The sequence below is a fragment of the Homo sapiens genome, chromosome 5, assembly GCF_000001405.40.
Source record: "Homo sapiens chromosome 5, GRCh38.p14 Primary Assembly".
Taxonomy (NCBI): domain Eukaryota; kingdom Metazoa; phylum Chordata; class Mammalia; order Primates; family Hominidae; genus Homo; species Homo sapiens.
In genome coordinates this window covers 35,666,986-35,684,922 of record NC_000005.10, presented here as the reverse complement: position 1 = coordinate 35,684,922, position 17,937 = coordinate 35,666,986, and the positions used below count along the sequence as shown (strand labels likewise).

At 37.2% G+C, this 17,937-nt stretch overlaps 1 protein-coding gene and 1 long non-coding RNA gene across 22 annotated transcripts in view; one reads left to right on the top strand and one right to left on the bottom strand.

Moving 5' to 3' along the window:
- SPEF2 (sperm flagellar 2) overlaps positions 1-17,937 on the bottom strand; it is a 196,749-nt gene that overhangs the window by 129,689 nt on the left and 49,123 nt on the right. For 20 of the 21 annotated variants that reach the window (XR_925655.3, XM_011514136.4, NM_024867.4 and 17 more), the window contains 2 exons: positions 17,664-17,851; positions 14,696-14,864 (listed from right to left, as the gene is read on the bottom strand). Coding sequence is in view for 20 of the 21 variants with exons in the window: in XM_011514136.4 (XP_011512438.1) it covers positions 14,696-14,864; positions 17,664-17,851 (357 nt within the window). In the remaining variant the exon portion in view is untranslated. Of the gene's footprint in view, positions 1-13,346; positions 14,865-17,663; positions 17,852-17,937 lie in introns of those variants that run through there. The other variant, NM_144722.4, reaches the window with a different exon arrangement.
- On the top strand, positions 437-8,228 carry LOC105374724 (uncharacterized). The gene is made up of 3 exons (XR_925919.3): positions 437-632; positions 881-943; positions 6,214-8,228. It is a non-coding gene; the product is annotated as an uncharacterized LOC105374724 (long non-coding RNA).

Here is a 17,937-nt window from a genome sequence, read left to right as displayed (position 1 = left end):
TAAGAAAACAGAAGCTGTAGAAATTATGTAATTTTACAATAAAAAAGGTGATAATTCCAAGGCCAATTTGAAGTGGAAAGTTGTCAATATTGTAATGATTTTGAGCTGTGCAGTCACTTAACCCTTTTTAAAGGCAACAGTCTTAGGCTTAAATCAGATGACTTGAGTTTCTATTATATAAGGCTTCTGCTACTTGCTTGCTTTGCACCCTCATTAATTCATCTTTGCAGCATAATAACAATATGTATTTCACCAGATTGTTGTAAAGATTAAGTGAAATAATGCTTGTGTGAGGAGCCTATGTAACCTCTGACTATAAACAGTTTAGGAGTTCTCAGGCAGCTGCTGGAGGCATGTAAGAGCGCCACATCCAGCTGCACTCCAATCTGAAAGGCCTGCTTCCTCACAAAAAATCCGAATAGACCTCTTCCATCACTAGCTGTAGAATGTGGCCAAACACAATGGAATAGGATGTCACTGTGAAGAGAACAGAATGCTTAGGTTAGAAGAACTGAAGCCTGACCTGTGAGATAAGCAGATAAAGGATTTGGTGGAACACACTGAGCAGAATCACTGTCAAAATAAAGCCTATGAAGTTCCTAGCAAAGACCAAAAATAAAGGCTGAGTCAAGGTAAGCATCTCAAAGGGGATGAAATCAGAACATGACGAGTGAAAAGAGATCAGAAGAACTGGAGAAAGAAGAAATTCAGACTAGAATGATGGTTATTAGTTTAACTACAATGAGCTAAAGAGCTTTACTAGTTCACTAGTAATGACGAATCAGAAATTTTTATCAGATCTCTACTTTACATATTTATTATCTATGTAGATATGATTAAATTATTTATATAATAAAACATATATTATTTACTCTTTCAGGTATTGTAAATAGACATCTGACTATTAGGCCCAGACTCTGACGCTCAGAGTGGGCAAAACCAGGTAAATATCACATGGTATAAACAATTGCTTTAACGAGATACTCTTTCTGTGTTGATGTACTAGTCCTTGATTTATGTAAACTGTCATGAACATGCAGGAAATAATTATTAAGCTGTCTTGATTTTAGTAATATTTTAATTGTACCTGCATAAATACTATCAGTATGTATTTTTGAGAAGGTGTAAGTATAAGATTCAGGATCCATCAACACCTAGGAGGTCTGACTCTCCCTGTGAATTTTTGTCTGCTTACACACAGAGATCATAAAATTACAACAGAGAGGAAATAGACTCTGCCCGTGGTCAAAAGTCACAACCTGTTCACTAGCACTGGTTTTTGCTTGTTTGTTTGTTTTGAGACGAAGTCTCACTCTGTCACCCAGGCTGGAGTGCAGTAGCGCGATCTTGGCTAACTGTAGCCTCCATCTCTCGAGTTCAAGCAATTATCCTGCCTCACCCTCCCAAGTAGCAGGGATTACAGGCAGGTGTCACTACGCCTAGCTAATTTTTGGATTTTTAGTAGAGACAGGGTTTCACCATGTTGGTCAGGCTGGTCTCGAACTCCTGAACTCAAACGATCCACCCACCTCAGCCTCCCAAAGTGCTGGGATTACTGGCATGAGCCACAGCACCCGGCCCACTAGCACTGTTTTTATTAATTGACCTACACTGACCTTTCCAGCACTTGAATTCTGAATTCCTGGAACCATAGTATCCACCATTTTTATGGATCCCATCTTTACAGATCACGTGGGCCTACCACTCTGCTGTCTAGCCTGGATCCAAAGCACTCACATGCCTCTCTATATCCTGTTGTAGGAGCCTAATGGTGACCTGGAGTTCTGATTCTGGTTACTTCCAGTCTCTCATATCTTTTTAGTTTTTTGTGGCCTAATGTGTCAGTATTCTTGGTCTCCTTGTTATGAATCATGGCTAATAGAATCACAAGTATTTACAAACAGAATCTGCTTGGAAGCAAACATGCTTGAATGTGGGTTGAGTTGCACACTTCAAGGGCAAGCTTAAGCTCCCGTGTGTCCACTGGATTCCCTTCTTGATTGTAACGTTGCCCAAGTGATTGAATGATGCTGCCGATTACCCCTGTAAAAACCACATGCATCTCATTCTCATTCTTGCCACTTCTAAACATCCAAGTTGGGAATGGAGCTTCCTCATTCACCCTTTCAAAAAGTGGGGAGAGCTGGCTTACTTAGATCAATTTGAATAAACAGAATCTGGGCCTTTGGAAATATTTGTCAGTGCATAAAATCTCAGAGCACCTAGCACAAAATTCAACAAACAAATAATAGAGTTACACCAATAATACTTAGCAGAGACATTCAAAGGTGGCTTTTTTAGAGGAGTGGTACTAGTCTGAAGGTACATATAATCCAGTGTTTGTCTTCATGGATCACTAGAACTTCCCAACATCTGCATGGCCTGATATGTCCCAGATGTTCCCAATTTGGTATGTTCTAAATATTTCAGAATTAAATTACTGATACATTTAGAAAGACAAGGCAAGTGCCTTTTCCTCTAAGAGACAGAAAGGACCTTCTAAGGGGATACAACACTTACACTGTTTTTGATACCTGTTAGTTTCCTTGGGTTTCCTGAAATGCAATCTTTTTTTAAACCTATATTTGATAAGACCCAACAACAGACAGATTATCTTGCTGTAGTGGCCAAAGGACTTAGGGCAGAAGCTTCTAACAAACTGACTTCAAGACATTCCATATGTAGTGACCCCATAAAATGAGGCTATAGCCCTTTTAGAGGGCAGCCAATGTACTGTAACTCTACCATGGCAAGACATTCAAGCTGCCTTGATCTATGGCTAGCTTTCCCTTGGCCTACCACTCTGCAGGTGTGCTTGGCTGGCTTTTCCCTTGGCACACCACTTTCCCTTGGCACAGCACTTTGTAATACTTAAAGTTAAGACTTGTACTAGCAGCCTCAGAAGTAGTTGTAGCCATTAACAATCCTCAATTTTCAGGGAAATTTGAATTTATGTTCATCATGATGGACCTTTCTTTAGCTATTCAAGACGTCCAGGAAGTCCTTTTCACCAGATGTGTCCATTTTTATTGGTCTGAACCCCTGTAAAGCACTCCTAAAGCTCTCTGGCTTCTCTTGGAGCACAATTACCACTTGGACTACATCTTCTAAGATAGTGGCTTTCAAACATTTTTGACTAGGTCTCCCCATAAAACAAACAAAAAAATGCATTCTACATTGTGACCTAGCATTTCTGTACAGGTAGATATAAAATGCACAAAAAAAATTTATGAAATCCTTATCATCACTACTTGTGATATGCTTTATTTCCTACTGTATTGTGTTTTATTATATTTATTTTGTCCTTTTTTAAAATAAATACTGGTTGTGACCTAAATTAATTTCACAATCTGGTTTCAACCTCTTTTGGGACAACAAATAATAAAAGATATTTCATTGGACAAGATACCAGGAACTCTCAGTTCTAATCTCATGTCTATAATTACCATCTTGGGTTTATTTTTTAGATATCTTCAAATAGGGAGAGTAATTCTTAATTTTATACTAACAGTCACTCAACTCAGAGAGTTAGAGAGTCAAAGTATATTTTTAAAGTAATACAGTTCTCAGTATAATTTCTCATAATTGGTTATAATTAAAGGCCAGTTCACTCATATGCTAGATCTTATTTGTATTATTAGATCTTAGTTATCAGTTACTTATTTTCTAGCACTTTGGAAAACTGTATTTTGTACAATTGCTGTTCTTAAATTTTTTTATAATGTGAATCTCTAAAACCTCTTATCAACAGGTACATTATTATTATTCAAAATGCAAGAAAACTTTAGGCTTATTGGAAAATAAATTAATAGTTAAATTGTATCCAAAGAAAAAGTATTAGTTAGTGAGAGGTTAGGTAATTTATTAACTCAAGCCCAAACACCGTGGGCAGAAAATGATGTCTTAACCAGGGACAAGCCGATTGCCCATTTATAGCATTTTAAGTTGTTGCACTGTCTACATGTTTCCATTGGAAGATTATTAGAAATAACCAAGATTGATATCTTCAGAGGTTATTGAAAAAGTCTGGATGCTGGAAGTGACTCCAGACACCCAAACACACTTCCTAAGCTTAGTTTGGTCTACAGGCTTGAAATTTAATGAAGCCATGGAGAAAATACAAAGATAGAAGAGTCTAAACTCACAGCTCATAGGGTTAGGTCCGTTTTGCATTAATACCTTTAAATCAACTGATGTCTACTCATACTTCACAAATCAACTGAATTTCATCCCTTCCAATGTGTCCTATAACCTCCTATTCGTATCCACACAGCATCATTCTCTGGAATGGTTTTTTTCTCATCCCTACTAAACTGTGAACAGTGGGAGGGAAGGATCTCTGTCTTATTTAACACCTAGAATAGTGCTGGTAGAAGTAGGCACTCGATAAATATCTATTTATTGAATCAGTCAATCAATCAATACTATAGGCTCAATATATGTGAACGGAATAAATGAGTGACTAAATTGAAATTCAAATTTAGTAATTTTAACTAAGTACAAAGATGACTTAGGCCCCCAAACAAGATAGGGATAACCCAAAATTAGGGACAAGATCAGAAAGCATAATCCTCATAGACAGAAGCTAGCAAAAATCCACATACCATGAATGAAATTAGCTAATACAGGAAGTATCTCCCGAAGTAACAACCTATCGTATGATTTAAAGTGTGCATCTCTGTTAAATTAAGGCATTTCTTTTTTGTTGTCAGCAAAAAGCATTTCATTTAAGATGTAATATATGAAAAACAGTTTATTAATTTGGGTCTTTCTAACAAACTATGCCAGAGACTTAACAGGGAGGAAAGAGATGTTGTAATGCCATTTTTAGGTATAAAAACAAATTAAAGTATTTCAATTTTCTGATGTTTTATCTCAGAGGAAAGATGGAGGATATGTCTTAATTTTTTAAATAGAAATATCCCCAAATCACCTAAAACAAATGGGTAACATCATTTAGGGAAAAATAAATCCCTTGAGAACATTGACTATATTCACATTACCAAAAATCCTATGGTTGTAAATAGTTTTTCCAAGTGAATCATGTTTGGGAAGAGATCTGTCACACTTGAACATGGGTAGCAATAGATTAGAGCTGGTCAGAAATTCAAATAAGTAGCCTGAAAGATGCCAGAAAACTAGGCAGGAAATAAGTCAGGTTTAAAACAGTCAGGAGATGGCAGGTCCTAAAAATCCAAGCACCTGGGCTGAGTCCTGGAGTGGGGAAGAGCAGCCCATGTCAATGGGTACGTACAATCTGCTCTACAGCAGAAGCTGTTTGTGACCTGGTTAATTTCATATTCCTAACTGGGTATTTGCCTTGGGTGTCCTAGACTAGTATGAGCCAGCTGTGTTCCACATGACTGGCAGATGAGAAAAACAAGCTGCAGATGTTCTAGCTCTGTTTGTGGCCTCTATTGCCCAGAGCCTCCTCACTTTGCTTCCAAGCCTTTAATGTGTGTCCTGTTCTGTTGCAGTTCTGCCTACCTTCCAACCTGCCAGCTTTGTTTTCATTTTCTAGTCTGGTCCTCACCCAATCTCAGTTTTGATCATTGGCATGCTCAAAGGACTTGGCTTGATCCCGCCTCTGTCTCTTCCTGTTTCTGGCCACATCAGGGAAATTATCTTGACTGTCTTGGTTCCAGTTCTAAGAATTAAACCCCTGGCACTGTATCTCCTGGCTGACCTTCCGGCTGGGTCTGTCCTGGTCTCCTACCAGAGGGAATAAAATACTACAGAAGTATACCTATTGCTAGGGTAGAATGAAAAGTCTAGTGGCTATATTCCAGTTACTGTTCCTGGGTAATATGGCACTCAGAATGAAGCCATACTCCATGGGAAAGTAGTAAGGTAACACTTTAACTTTTAGAGCCTCTGTTGTCATCTCTTCCAGGGCTTTCTGTCCTCCAACTACCCCCAAACCCTGACGAAGTCTGGAAGAACTGCCTAAATTTTATTCAGATTTAAACATTTGTAATAACTTCCCAGGTTTCTTAGAAGAGGCAGAAAGTGTGGTTATTTATCTTCCCTAAGGGGAGTTCAGCTGTGTAATCTGGCAGCCCCACAGGGTTTCTTGAACACTGTATGGGACCTGTTTGATAGCCAGGTGACAGTGGAAAAGATTGATGCTGCCACATACTGCCTTAGACAAAAAGGCAAAGAGAAGAGAGGATGATTAGCTGAAGTGCAGCTGAATTCTGTCTTCTCATCCAGGAGCTGTCACGGAATGGGCTCTGCGTTGGGGCCCAGTTTCAAGAAGGCCTCAGAACAACTTTGGAAGATGAATTGATCCTGTTGCATGAGCCTGGAAGCCTTGTTAAGTCACTTGACCTCCAGTCAGGTCAGCGTATGGTTAGCTACCCGGACACATCTTTCTACCAGACACTCTGGCCTTCAGATTCCAGAGGAGCCAGTGGGCAGGGGTGTCTGTTTTTCACTGACATTTGCAGGGTGGGTACACCTCTAGAGAGAAGGTCACATCTCTTGCCAGGAAATGCAGAGTCTGAGCAATCGAGGGAAAGGCAGAGGTTAGCTCAACTTCATCTGCCATGTGGACCCCCATGCTGAGCTGAAGAGTGTTCTGGTTAGAAGCAGATTGTGGGTGGCCAATGCCTTGCCTATGGAACTATATCATGGTTAATTCTGGATCATCAGGAAATCTAATGAATTTGACCTGATTCAATAATGTCTTTCACTCAGTAATCTGATCACTTCTGTTCCAGGAGTAGCCTTCCTCAGTCTGCCCTAATCTAATGGTACGAAAACAGGCATGTTTAATTTTAGCCTATTGCAAAAGAAGACCCAGGGCAGTAGACTGCATCTACCTTATGCTTGTTTTTGGAAGGAAATTTACACTGGCCACGGTCAATACTCAGCGTGTGACAATGGTCACTGTCAAGGCCTGTAGGCCCACGCTGGAGAGAGCCTGGCACCTCACAATGCAATCCAATCACTCCAGCTTGTCACATATTCAGAAGTTCAGAAAGCTCAGCAGTGACAGGTTTATTTTTCAGAAACGCTGAGCTACAAATTACTAATATATCAGGCAGCCAGAATCACTGGGCTGACTGCAGGTCTGATTACCATGGGTAACTGACACTAAGCCATTCTGGGAGATCCTCTCCCTTAAATAGTTACATTTCAGTGCTGCTGAAATTCCGTGACCAATCAGATGCAGACAATAGGTAGGGGCTTCTGATTAGCACTCTGATTTCCAGCTGTGCTCGAAGTGACTCAGGAGATCAGTGGAAAAGTAGTTCAGTCACCCCAAAATGATAGGTTCCTACTCCTTGTTCCATTCTCTATCCCTGGAAAGCCACCATGGCCCTTCCAAGGCATTGAATGTGGCACACTGAGAATTACAGCAGCCCAGTGCTTTTCAAAGCACAACTGCCTGGGTCAAACAAAGAAACAAAAAATAAGACTCTAAGGTCACTGCATTGCTCCCCAAGTGCCCTTGAGACTGAATCACCCTGGACTTCATATCAGATTTCTCCCTGTTCTGGGGCCACCAAACAATTCTGATGGTGGTGGCTATCCTTATCAAAACAGTAAATGTCATTCCCCAACTGCTTAAACTATGCTTTATTTATCAGTGAGGTGGTAGCCTACCTCAGGATCACTTTTATAGTAATTTCCATGGTCTTACTATTTAAAGGAATGTTTCCAGAAGTATCTACATCTGAATTCACCTGTCTACTGCTATTACCTAGCCAGGGATAGTAAGAAAGACACTTTTGGTTGGAATTTCTCTGGTGTCACAAAATACATAGGCATTATGACTTGTTCTGCCTACCTTGTAACTGCAAAATTCACACAGTATTTTTCCACACGGAATACCCTCTTCTATAATGACTACTGCCACCCTCTTTATTTCACTGCTAAGATTGATACCTCAAAGAGGTATAAGCCACCCCCAAAAAGCTTAGAGGTGACATTGATCAATGTGTCAAAGACTACTATAGGCCCACTGTACCAAATAATATGGCTAAGTCCTGACACCGGACAGGGGTGGTGGTGTGGGGGGTGTCTTTTAGGTGGGAGAGTTTATGGTTCTCAGTCCTACATATCTGAGCCAAATTAAAATTTAAACACTTTCTTGGATCCATTCAAGTTTTCAAGATCACAAACCCCATTGTGTTCTTCCTATATTTATCTGTTAAGACATAGCTTTAAAACATTTTTTTTTTCTTTTGAGTCAGAGTCTCACTCTGTCACCCAGGCTGGAGTGCAGTGGCACGATCTTGGCTCACTGAAACCTCTGACTCCCGGGTTCAAGGGATTCTTGTGCCTTAGCCTCCCAAGTAGCTGGAATTACAGGTGCCCGCCAAAATGCCTAGCTAATTTTTGTATTTTTAGGAGAGACGGGGTTTCACCATGTTGGCCAGGCTGGTCTCGAACTCCTGACCTCAAGTGATCTGCCTGCCTTGGCCTCCCAAAGTGCTGGGATTACAGGTGTGAGCCCCCGCAAACAGCCTATAGTTTTAAAATTTAAAACTTTATAGCCAACTCTAAAATCCTAGCTGGTAATTCCGAGGAATTGATTGAATGGAAAGTGGGCTTGATGCATAGAAGCTGGCTCCTGTAGTTGCCAAAGTAGGTAGAGAACAAACCCAAAACTCAGTAGTAGAAAGCCCAGAAAAGCCCTGACCACCATCTCTTTCCCTGGTCTCACAGAGGAGGGAGCTTGGAAGAGGGCTGGCTTCTCTCTATGTGATCAAGAACAAATAAAAATGAGTGGTGGACAATCACTCTGATCTTATTCATGTCAGGCATCCAGGACTCCTCTCTTTGGCTTTGTCCTTCTCACATCCCATTCCACTTCTATCTGGCTGCCAACTTTTTGGAAACCATTTCTCAATTCTGGTCTAACGTCTTGAACTTGATACCTTAATTCAACAATTTCTACCATGGTTTTCAAATGAACTTACCTTGTCTCCAGTGTTAATAATTTGAAGCCAAATACCCTTCACATGACCCAAGTTCATCTTCTATTCCTGCTATTCCATAGACACAAGTCCCAGACCCCTATCAAGCCCTCTGAAATCCTTGGCCTACAACAATTAGAAAATAGCCTTGTTTCTTGGTAACCACGGACCTAGGGCAAATAGAGCCCTCTTTGAAAACTAATACATTGATGTTCTGCTCTGTTAAGTTAGAATCAGTGTGCTTGATTACTACAAATAAGAATCCTGGCTAACACGTTGAAAGCCTGTCTCTACTAAAAATACAGAAAATTAGCCGGGTGTGGTGGCGGGCGCCTGTAGGCCTGTAGTCCTGGCTACTGGGAGGGAGGCGGAGCTTGCAGCCAGCCGAGATTGCGCCACTGCACGTCAGCCTGGGCGACAGAGCAAGAGCGAGAGCGAGACTCCCTCTCAAAAAAAAAAAAAAAAAGGAATCCTAACCAACCAAGATACAATGAGGCTTAGTCTACAAAAGCCATAGCCTTACCATTAGTGAAGGAATTTAGGGAGTTAGAGGTAACACTGTAAACAAATGAGAAAAGAAATTGCACGTATGAAATGGCACACTCTTAAAAACTAAACTAGAATGATATGAGAATATTTCTTTCAACATCAATCTTCCTTCCCAGCTCCTTTCTATTTTGGAGGCTGATCATGATTCTTATTGCCTATCTTGAGAAATGTTTGTATTTTAGGAAGTGCTGATGTCTTAATTCAAAGGAATGATATTGTGAGGCATTGAGTGCAATGACAGGCAGAATTTTTACAATAGAATAATAGCCTTAGAGAATATCTCAGCCTTCATCATATAAGCAAGTGCTTACTCTGTCCACTTAGAGGTCAGCTGTATTCCTCCATATCTGAAAATAAAAGATGAAACCATCATATTTTTCAGGGCCCTCCAGTACTACACAATGCAATTATATACATTTATATTAAAATGAATAATTAGAATTAATGCTCAGGTTCATCAGTAGAAGCATCTTCATAGTCAAAAGACAAGAAAATTAAGACTTCTTGGCAAGAAACAGAAGAGGCCATAAAACAAGCAACTTCATGTGAAATTAAAAGTTCCTATACTTAATTAGTAAGTTTCCATATTGTGACATTTTGTAAGTATCCTGAATAAATGCATATATTATGGGCTGAATGTTTGTGTCTCCCCCAGATTCATATGTTGAAGCCCTAACCTCCAATGTGATGGTACTTGGAGGCTAGGCCTTTGGAATGTAATCAGGTTTAGATGAGGTCATGAGGGAGGGGCTCCCATGATGAGATTAGTTTTCGTAAACCATCATTCTCAGCAAACTATCGCAAGGATAAAAAACCAAACACCACATGTTCTCACTCATAGGTGGGAATTGAACAATGAGAACACATGGACAAAGGAAGGGGAACATCACACACGAGGGCCTGTTTTGGGGTCGGGGGAGGGGGGAGGGAGAGCATTAGGAGATATACCTAATGTTAAATGACGAGTTAATGGGTACAGCACACCAACATGGCACATGTATACATATGTAACTAACATGCACATTGTGCACATGCACCCTAAAACTTAAAATATAATAATAATAATAATAAAAAGAATTTGGAAACACCAAAAAAAAAAAAAAAAAAAAGAAGACGAAAAGAGAAGAGCTCACTCTGTTTCTCTCTGCCCTGTGAGAACACAGCAGGAAGGCAGTCTTCTGTGAGCCAGGAAGAAAGATCTCACTGGGGAGTCAAACTGGCTAACACCTTAACCTTGGGCTTCTCAGTCTCCAGAACTATGAAAAATAAATTGCTGTTGTTTAAGCCACCCAGTCTATAGTGTATTATTATAGCAGCCTGAGCTGATCAATGCAATGTATATGTTTTAAATGTAAAAAAGTGATCGATTCACATGCCCTTAACATTCATCTACTAAAATCTATCACTGTGCTTGTGTCAATTATCCAGGGATGTCTTTGGGCCACACAATTCAGATGAGACAGGAAAACAGAGAACTCCATGGCTCATTTAGTCCCATATTTCTATTCTTTGGTGGAAAAAGACCTGGTGGTAATAAAGGTCATTGTAAAAAAACTGGGGGATAGGTGTCCATACATGTGCTGTAGTGACAGGCGTACACATGTTAAACCATAACATATACAACCACATCTTAAAGTCTGGTTGACGGAAAATCATAAGCCAAAAATAATGTTAATAAAAATGTACATTATAACACACACTGTAGGGTTAATCCAATAACCACAACAAACTCACCTGATCATGAACTTAAACACTAATTTGCCATTAAAGGCAAAAAATAGCAGCAATTAAAAATCATGAACAACTTAAGACAACATGGATGATGTGCTGGAAATGAAATATCCTTCCCCCAAATTATAGAAATTCCAAGTATAACTTGGTTATGGGCATGCACAGTAGAGCTCTGAAAATGGTTGAGTGCTTTGTGGCAGGGACTTCTTAGAAAAATCCAAATCTTCAGGAAACCATAGCCATGAGCTAATTTTAGTTTATGAACACTAAATTTTAGTAACTCTTAAACTCATTCAACTAGTAATTGCTAGTAAGCAGCTTATATAAAAGTGAAACGCTATGAATTGCAACTCATTTGCTAGTAAGACCCACAGAAAGGATTTGCATTAGGGGGAGTTTGAGGTTCACTGGCAGGAGTCCACTGCATGATTGAGAACCACTAGCTGCTGTGTGGGGCTGTGCTGCCAGCTGCACTACAGGAACCAGGCCTCCTGGCTTAGACTGCTACCCATGGTCCATTGGGCTTTAAGGGCCCTTCCTCACTTTCTACTAAATAACTCAATGTTGTTATGCTGTGGTAGTTGCCTAGGAACCCCAGAGAGGTCTGACTGCTCCATGATGCTGTTCTTGCCTCTTTCCTGGGAGAGAGAAATGTTATTTCTAGCCACTGGGGTAGAGCTCCCTCACATTCAGTCATTCTCACATAAATAGAGTGTGATGATTTAGGAAATAAAGTTAAGACATGAGTCAAATTTTTGGCAGCTACATATGACATGTACATAAGCAAATATCTGTTTTAATTGCAATTTCTAGGTACAATATTTAAAAATTTTAAGCATAATAGCTTATTTGAACAGAACACGGGCTTCTAAAAGCACAAACTCAAAACTGGGAACTGTCAGTTCTTTAAAGGTATAGGGTATGGACATCAATTAAGTATGCTAAGAATATAAACTTTTTGAAGATTAATTTCTGAATAATACATTTGCTTGAACATAATGTTCATTATAATGTTATTGAACATTATATATAATGAACATTATTATGTTCAAGCAAATGTATTACACTATTTGTTCAAGCAAATGTATTATACTATTATACTATCATTCTTTATTTTTAGATCTTTGGTCTCTTCAAGAAATTGTCCTAAATGTTCCCACATACAAGCAAAAAATAAATGTTTCAACTTGTAAAATATATTATCTGGCTTAAATAGTCTATCACAACAGGCAGCGGAACAATGCATCCTGGCTTATCTAAAAGAAACAGTTGTCCACATTTGTCATTATTAAATTTGTTCAGGAGTTTTAATGCAAATGTATTACTTAGAAATTAATACATTTGCTTGAACATAATAATGTTCATTATATATAATGTTCAATAACATTATAATGAACATTATGTTCAATAACATTATAATGAATTATATATAATGTTCAATAACATTATAATGAACATTATGTTCAATAACATTATAATGAACATTATGTTCAAGCAAATGTATTAATTTCTGAGTAATATATTTGCATTAAAACTCCTGAACAAATTTAATAATGACAAACGTGGACAACTGTTTCTTTTAGATAAGCCAGGATGCATTGTTCCGCTGCCTCTTGTGATAGACTATTTAAGCCAGATAATATATTTTACAAGTTGAAACATTTATTTTTTACTTGTATGTAGGAACATTTAGGACAAGTTCTTGAAGAGACCAAAGATCTAAAAATAAAGAATGATAGTATAATAGTTTACAGTATATCCTAAAACCTGTATATGGCATATTTTCCATTATGGTGTCGAAGGGAGCTTGTGAAAACATATTATAAATCCTAAGGTAATTTTCATTTCTAGAAAAACAGCAAAGTCAATACACAAAATAAAGTACATTGCTAGACGCTCACAAACTCCTAACAAAAGTTTACAATTTTCTGCAAAAGAAATGCATCATCTGCTTCAGGATGTGGGTAAGACAAGCATGTTCCTGTGGTAACCATTTCTCATACAAGGAAAATAGCTAAAGAGACAAAAATCTTTGCTAAGCTGCAGCCTACTAGGTCTCCTGATTTGTAAGAGCAACAAGAATAGAGATTGAGCTGTTTAGCAAGTAATTTAGAAATAAACATTCGATGAACCAGTAAAGTCTGTCAAATAAAATGACTTTTAATTTACAATGGAAAGAAATACCTTAACACAGGTTGATACTGTCAAAGCATTTTCTTACATGGCATTATACTTTAGGTGGATGTAATAGGTCTAGTATATTTTACAACCGTACAAAACAAACATCCACATATATCTTTTAAGGTTCTAGTCAATCCTTAATAATAATTCTCTTAGTGCTACAAATACAGATTCATTTAATTAAAATATAGTATACATTTAATTTCTCATAATCTCATATTTTTCCTTATCTTTTAACCACAAGGTTATCTTCTTGTAATATTTACTTGTTAGTGTTATTTTGCACTTTTCTTTGTTCATTGTAATTCATTCATTTTATTCACCCTTTGTCCCACAAACCTTTGTTGAGTATGTACTATCAGTGAATAATTAGGTCAAATAATCTTTTCATAGATTTTTTTCATGTTGCACTTACTGACCTTCCGGGACTCATTTTGTAATTTTTCTAATAAAAAGCCTCACTCCTCATTCCATTGCTGTTGATCCACTCAAAATTTCTATCCAAAAGCTATGATTGTTACACCTTTACTTCTAAGGGTGAGATGGAGTGGGATGGGGAGAGTAGGATGGTGAGGAAAGAAATGGATATGTATTATATGCATCCAACATGAAGTGCACTCAGCTAAGTGTTTAACTCATGTTATTTTAAATGAAGTAGGTATAGTAGCATTCCCTTTCCATTAATTGAAAAATGGAAATCTATTAGCCCTTAATGAACTGGTCACCTAAGGTCACACAGTTAGTAGTTGGCAATTTCAGTAATGTAGCTCTAGTCTGTCTAATCTCAAAGGCTTTACAACAGTTCTTCTAAAAATCACAGTTGGCACCCGATACTTTTTATTTCAATCTTTGAATAAAAGATTGTTTGAATCTATGCTATTCATAAAACCCAGACTTCCTCCTCTTTCATTTTGCCTGTAAAAAAAGTCTATTATTTAGATTGATTACAAAAGAAATACTTTTTAACAATGGTTTTTGAAGCAAAAGTACACAGCCCATACAAAGAAAAATGCTAATAAATAAATTAAAGCATTTTAAAAATTCTGAAATCTGTCTACCCAGACAATTACTATGCTTGATGTTTTTTCAGACCACTCCCCTAAGATTACTAGGAACAATAGATAATAGCTTATGTATAGTTTAAGCATCTAAAAAGTAGTACAAACATACAAATTAAAACAAGGGAAAATGCAAACAAAACATGTCTATTTTTATTAGTAGAAATGAAATAAGGAATATCACAAAATTAATGTTAAAGAAAAAGGATTTATTATGTAGCATTCTAATTATTTCATATCAGTAGGTACCTTATATTCTTCATAATCATTGGTATCTAGCAAGTCCCTTTTCTCCAGTTCTGTAAGTTGTTCTCTTGAGGGGTTAGCAGGTAGTGTCTTAACAGAGGCTTGTTCATATATGGGTTTTGCATTAAAAAATAGTTCCTTCCAATCATGCATCAACTTATACGGAATCAGACTATCGCACAAAAAAAAGGTAGAGATGAATCAATGGTTAGTCAAATATAGATTTTAAACATTGGTATTTTTATTATATTTATGTAATTAGCTCACTTTCATCAGACAGAAATAATTACTGAAAAATGATCTTAAAGGTTACCATATGTGCAATGACAATAAGACTAATATATATGAGATTTTTCTGTTACAAATAATTTACAAAATGTAAACCTACTTTTCTCTTAAAGGGGCCTTGAAAAGCACTCAGTTTGTTCGTTTTGCACAGGAGGACACTGATACTAGAGCATTTAAATAATTTCCTAAGGTTGCATAGTAAGCTGATATCAGAGCTGAGAATTAAGGAACCTAAGTGTTCTGACTGTACTCAATATTTTTAGATATATTGTTCTGCTATGAAACAGTCAATAAAAAAGTGAAAAGAGCCAGTGGCATAAAGTAACAATCATTCTTCAAACCCACTAAGTTCCGGACATTTTACTAGCTATTAGAAATATAATAGCAAGTGGAATACCTGGACTTAAATAGCAGACTCTGGGAAAGAAGGGGAAAAAATAATTGCGTACATAAATGAAAGTTTTGAATAAGAATTATACAATGGGAAAGCACAACAGTATGACTCAACTTAACTTGTTGGTTCCAGGAAGGTCTCTTTAAAGAAATGACTGCTAAGCTGAGTCCTGAGGAATGCTTAGGAGACAACAAGGACAGAGTGATGGGAAAATGGTTTCAAGACAAGATGTGTGAAATGTCCTGACATGATCATAAACAGTTGGACTAGAACCTGAAATTACAACTTAAAAAGTAGTATTTCATTCTGATTCATGCTACAACATGAAAGGACCTTGAAGACGTTATGCTAAGTGAAATAAGCCAGACAGAAAAAGGACAAATATATTATTCCACTTATATAAGGTACCTAGAAGAGACAAATTCAGAGACATCAAGTAGGATAGAGATTATCAGTGGCTGGGGATTGAAGGGGATGAGGAGTTATTATTTAACGGCTACAGACCTAACAACGTTTCCTGTTTAAAAGGCTGTGTGTTCAGGGGTCTTGAACTCCTGACAAACCTCAGATTCAGGTACTTCTCCTTTTTGCTTTCTCCACCACTTATTAGGGCTTTAAAAAGCTCCAAAATTACCTGTTTCCTCCTAATAACCTTTTAATATTCTCTTTCAATATGACTTACTATGACATTTGTAGACATTCTATGGCTTCATGATTGCAACCCACTAAAGTAGTCCACATATTTTGAAAAAAACTATAGAAGAAAAAAACCTTAGCTATCTGACCTTTACTGTAAAATTCTGTTCACATTTAAGGATATGAGGATAGAAACAGATAAAATGGCAAAAGTAGGAACATTTTTAAAATATGGAGATCCATATACCCTTTACCCAGTGTCTCCTGATTGTAATATCTTGCAAAACCACAGTACGATATCACAACCAGGATATTAACATTGATACAGTCAAGATACAGAACCTTCTATCACCACAGAACCCATCATGTTGCCCTTTCAGAGCCACACTCACTTCCCTCTCACCTCCATCCCATTCTTAGCCCCTGGCAATCACTAATCTGTTCTCAGTTTCTATAACTTTGTCATTTCAAGAATGTTATATAAATGAAATCACAGAGCATGTAACATTTTGAGACTGGCTCTTTCCCACGCAGCCTAAGTATCTGGAGATTCATCCAGATTGTGGCATGTATTAATAGTTTATTATTTTATATTTCTCAGCAATATTCCATGATACGGATGTATCACACTCTATTACCTGTTGAGAGATATCTGGATTGTTATCAGTTTTAAGCTATTACAAATAAAGGTGATATAAACATTTGTATACAGGTTTTTGTGTGAATTTAAGTCTTAATTTCTCTAGGATAAATGCCCAGAAGTGTAATTGCTAGGTTGTGTGGGAGTTGCATATTCTGCTTTTTAAGAAATTGCCAAACTGTTTTCCAGAGGGGCTATACCATTTCACCTTTCTCAGCAGTAATGAATAGTGGTTTTCTCCAGATCCTTGCCAGTATTTGGTGTTTTCATTTTTTTAAAAATTTTAACCATTCTTATAGGTGTGTAATGATATATCATTGTGATTTCAATTTGAAATTTTCTAATGACTAACAAGGGTGAATTTTTTTACTTGTGTATTTGTCATCTAAATATCCTCTTCAGTGAAATGTCTTTTCATATCTTTTGCCTATTTTTGAACTGGCTTATTTTTTATTGTTGAATTTTGAGAATACTTCATATATTCTAGATATTAGTCTTTTGTGGGATAGGCAGTTTGAAATATCTTCTCCTATTCTATACATCCTTTCATCTTTTTCAAAGCAAAAAGTTTTAATTTTGAGGAAGTCCAACTTATAAAGTTTTGTCTTTTGCAGAGCAAAAATTTTTAATTTTAATGAAGTCCAATTTGTCAAGTTTTCCTTTTATGGATCATGCTTTTGGTGTCAAGTCTAAGAACTTGTTGCCTAGTCATAGAACCCAAAGATTTTCTCCCATTTTTTTCCTCAAAGTTTTATAGTGCTATGAGTTACATTTAAGTCTATGATCCACTTTAATTTTCATAAAAGGTGAGGAAAAAGGCATATATGCATCTTAAATAAAAATAGTCAGTGAGTAAATCAAGTCAGTAATCAAGGTCTCCTGGACCCCACCTTTTAGTCTTTTCATGAATCATTTTTATCTCTCTTTACTTATCATCCTAGTATCTATTTTACAATCTTATCCTTCCTCATTCTCTATCGTGTCTCTACTGTTATTACAAAAAAAATACTTACTTATTTGTCAACATTCGATAGTCTGCCACTTTAGTGGACAAATCAACTATTTGATCCAAAATTTCTGCACATACTGAATAATGCTTTTCATAACGAGCTTGAGCTCTTTCCACAGCAATCTGATCATGAAATCTCTTTTCTTTAAGGAATTGTTCTTCAAAGTCAATCTTGGCTTGTTTTGCCAAAGCCTAAAAAGGCAAAAACATATTTTTAAGTCACTATAATTGAATCAAATAAAAATAATGTCATCATTTCAATGGCCAAAAAGTCTTTC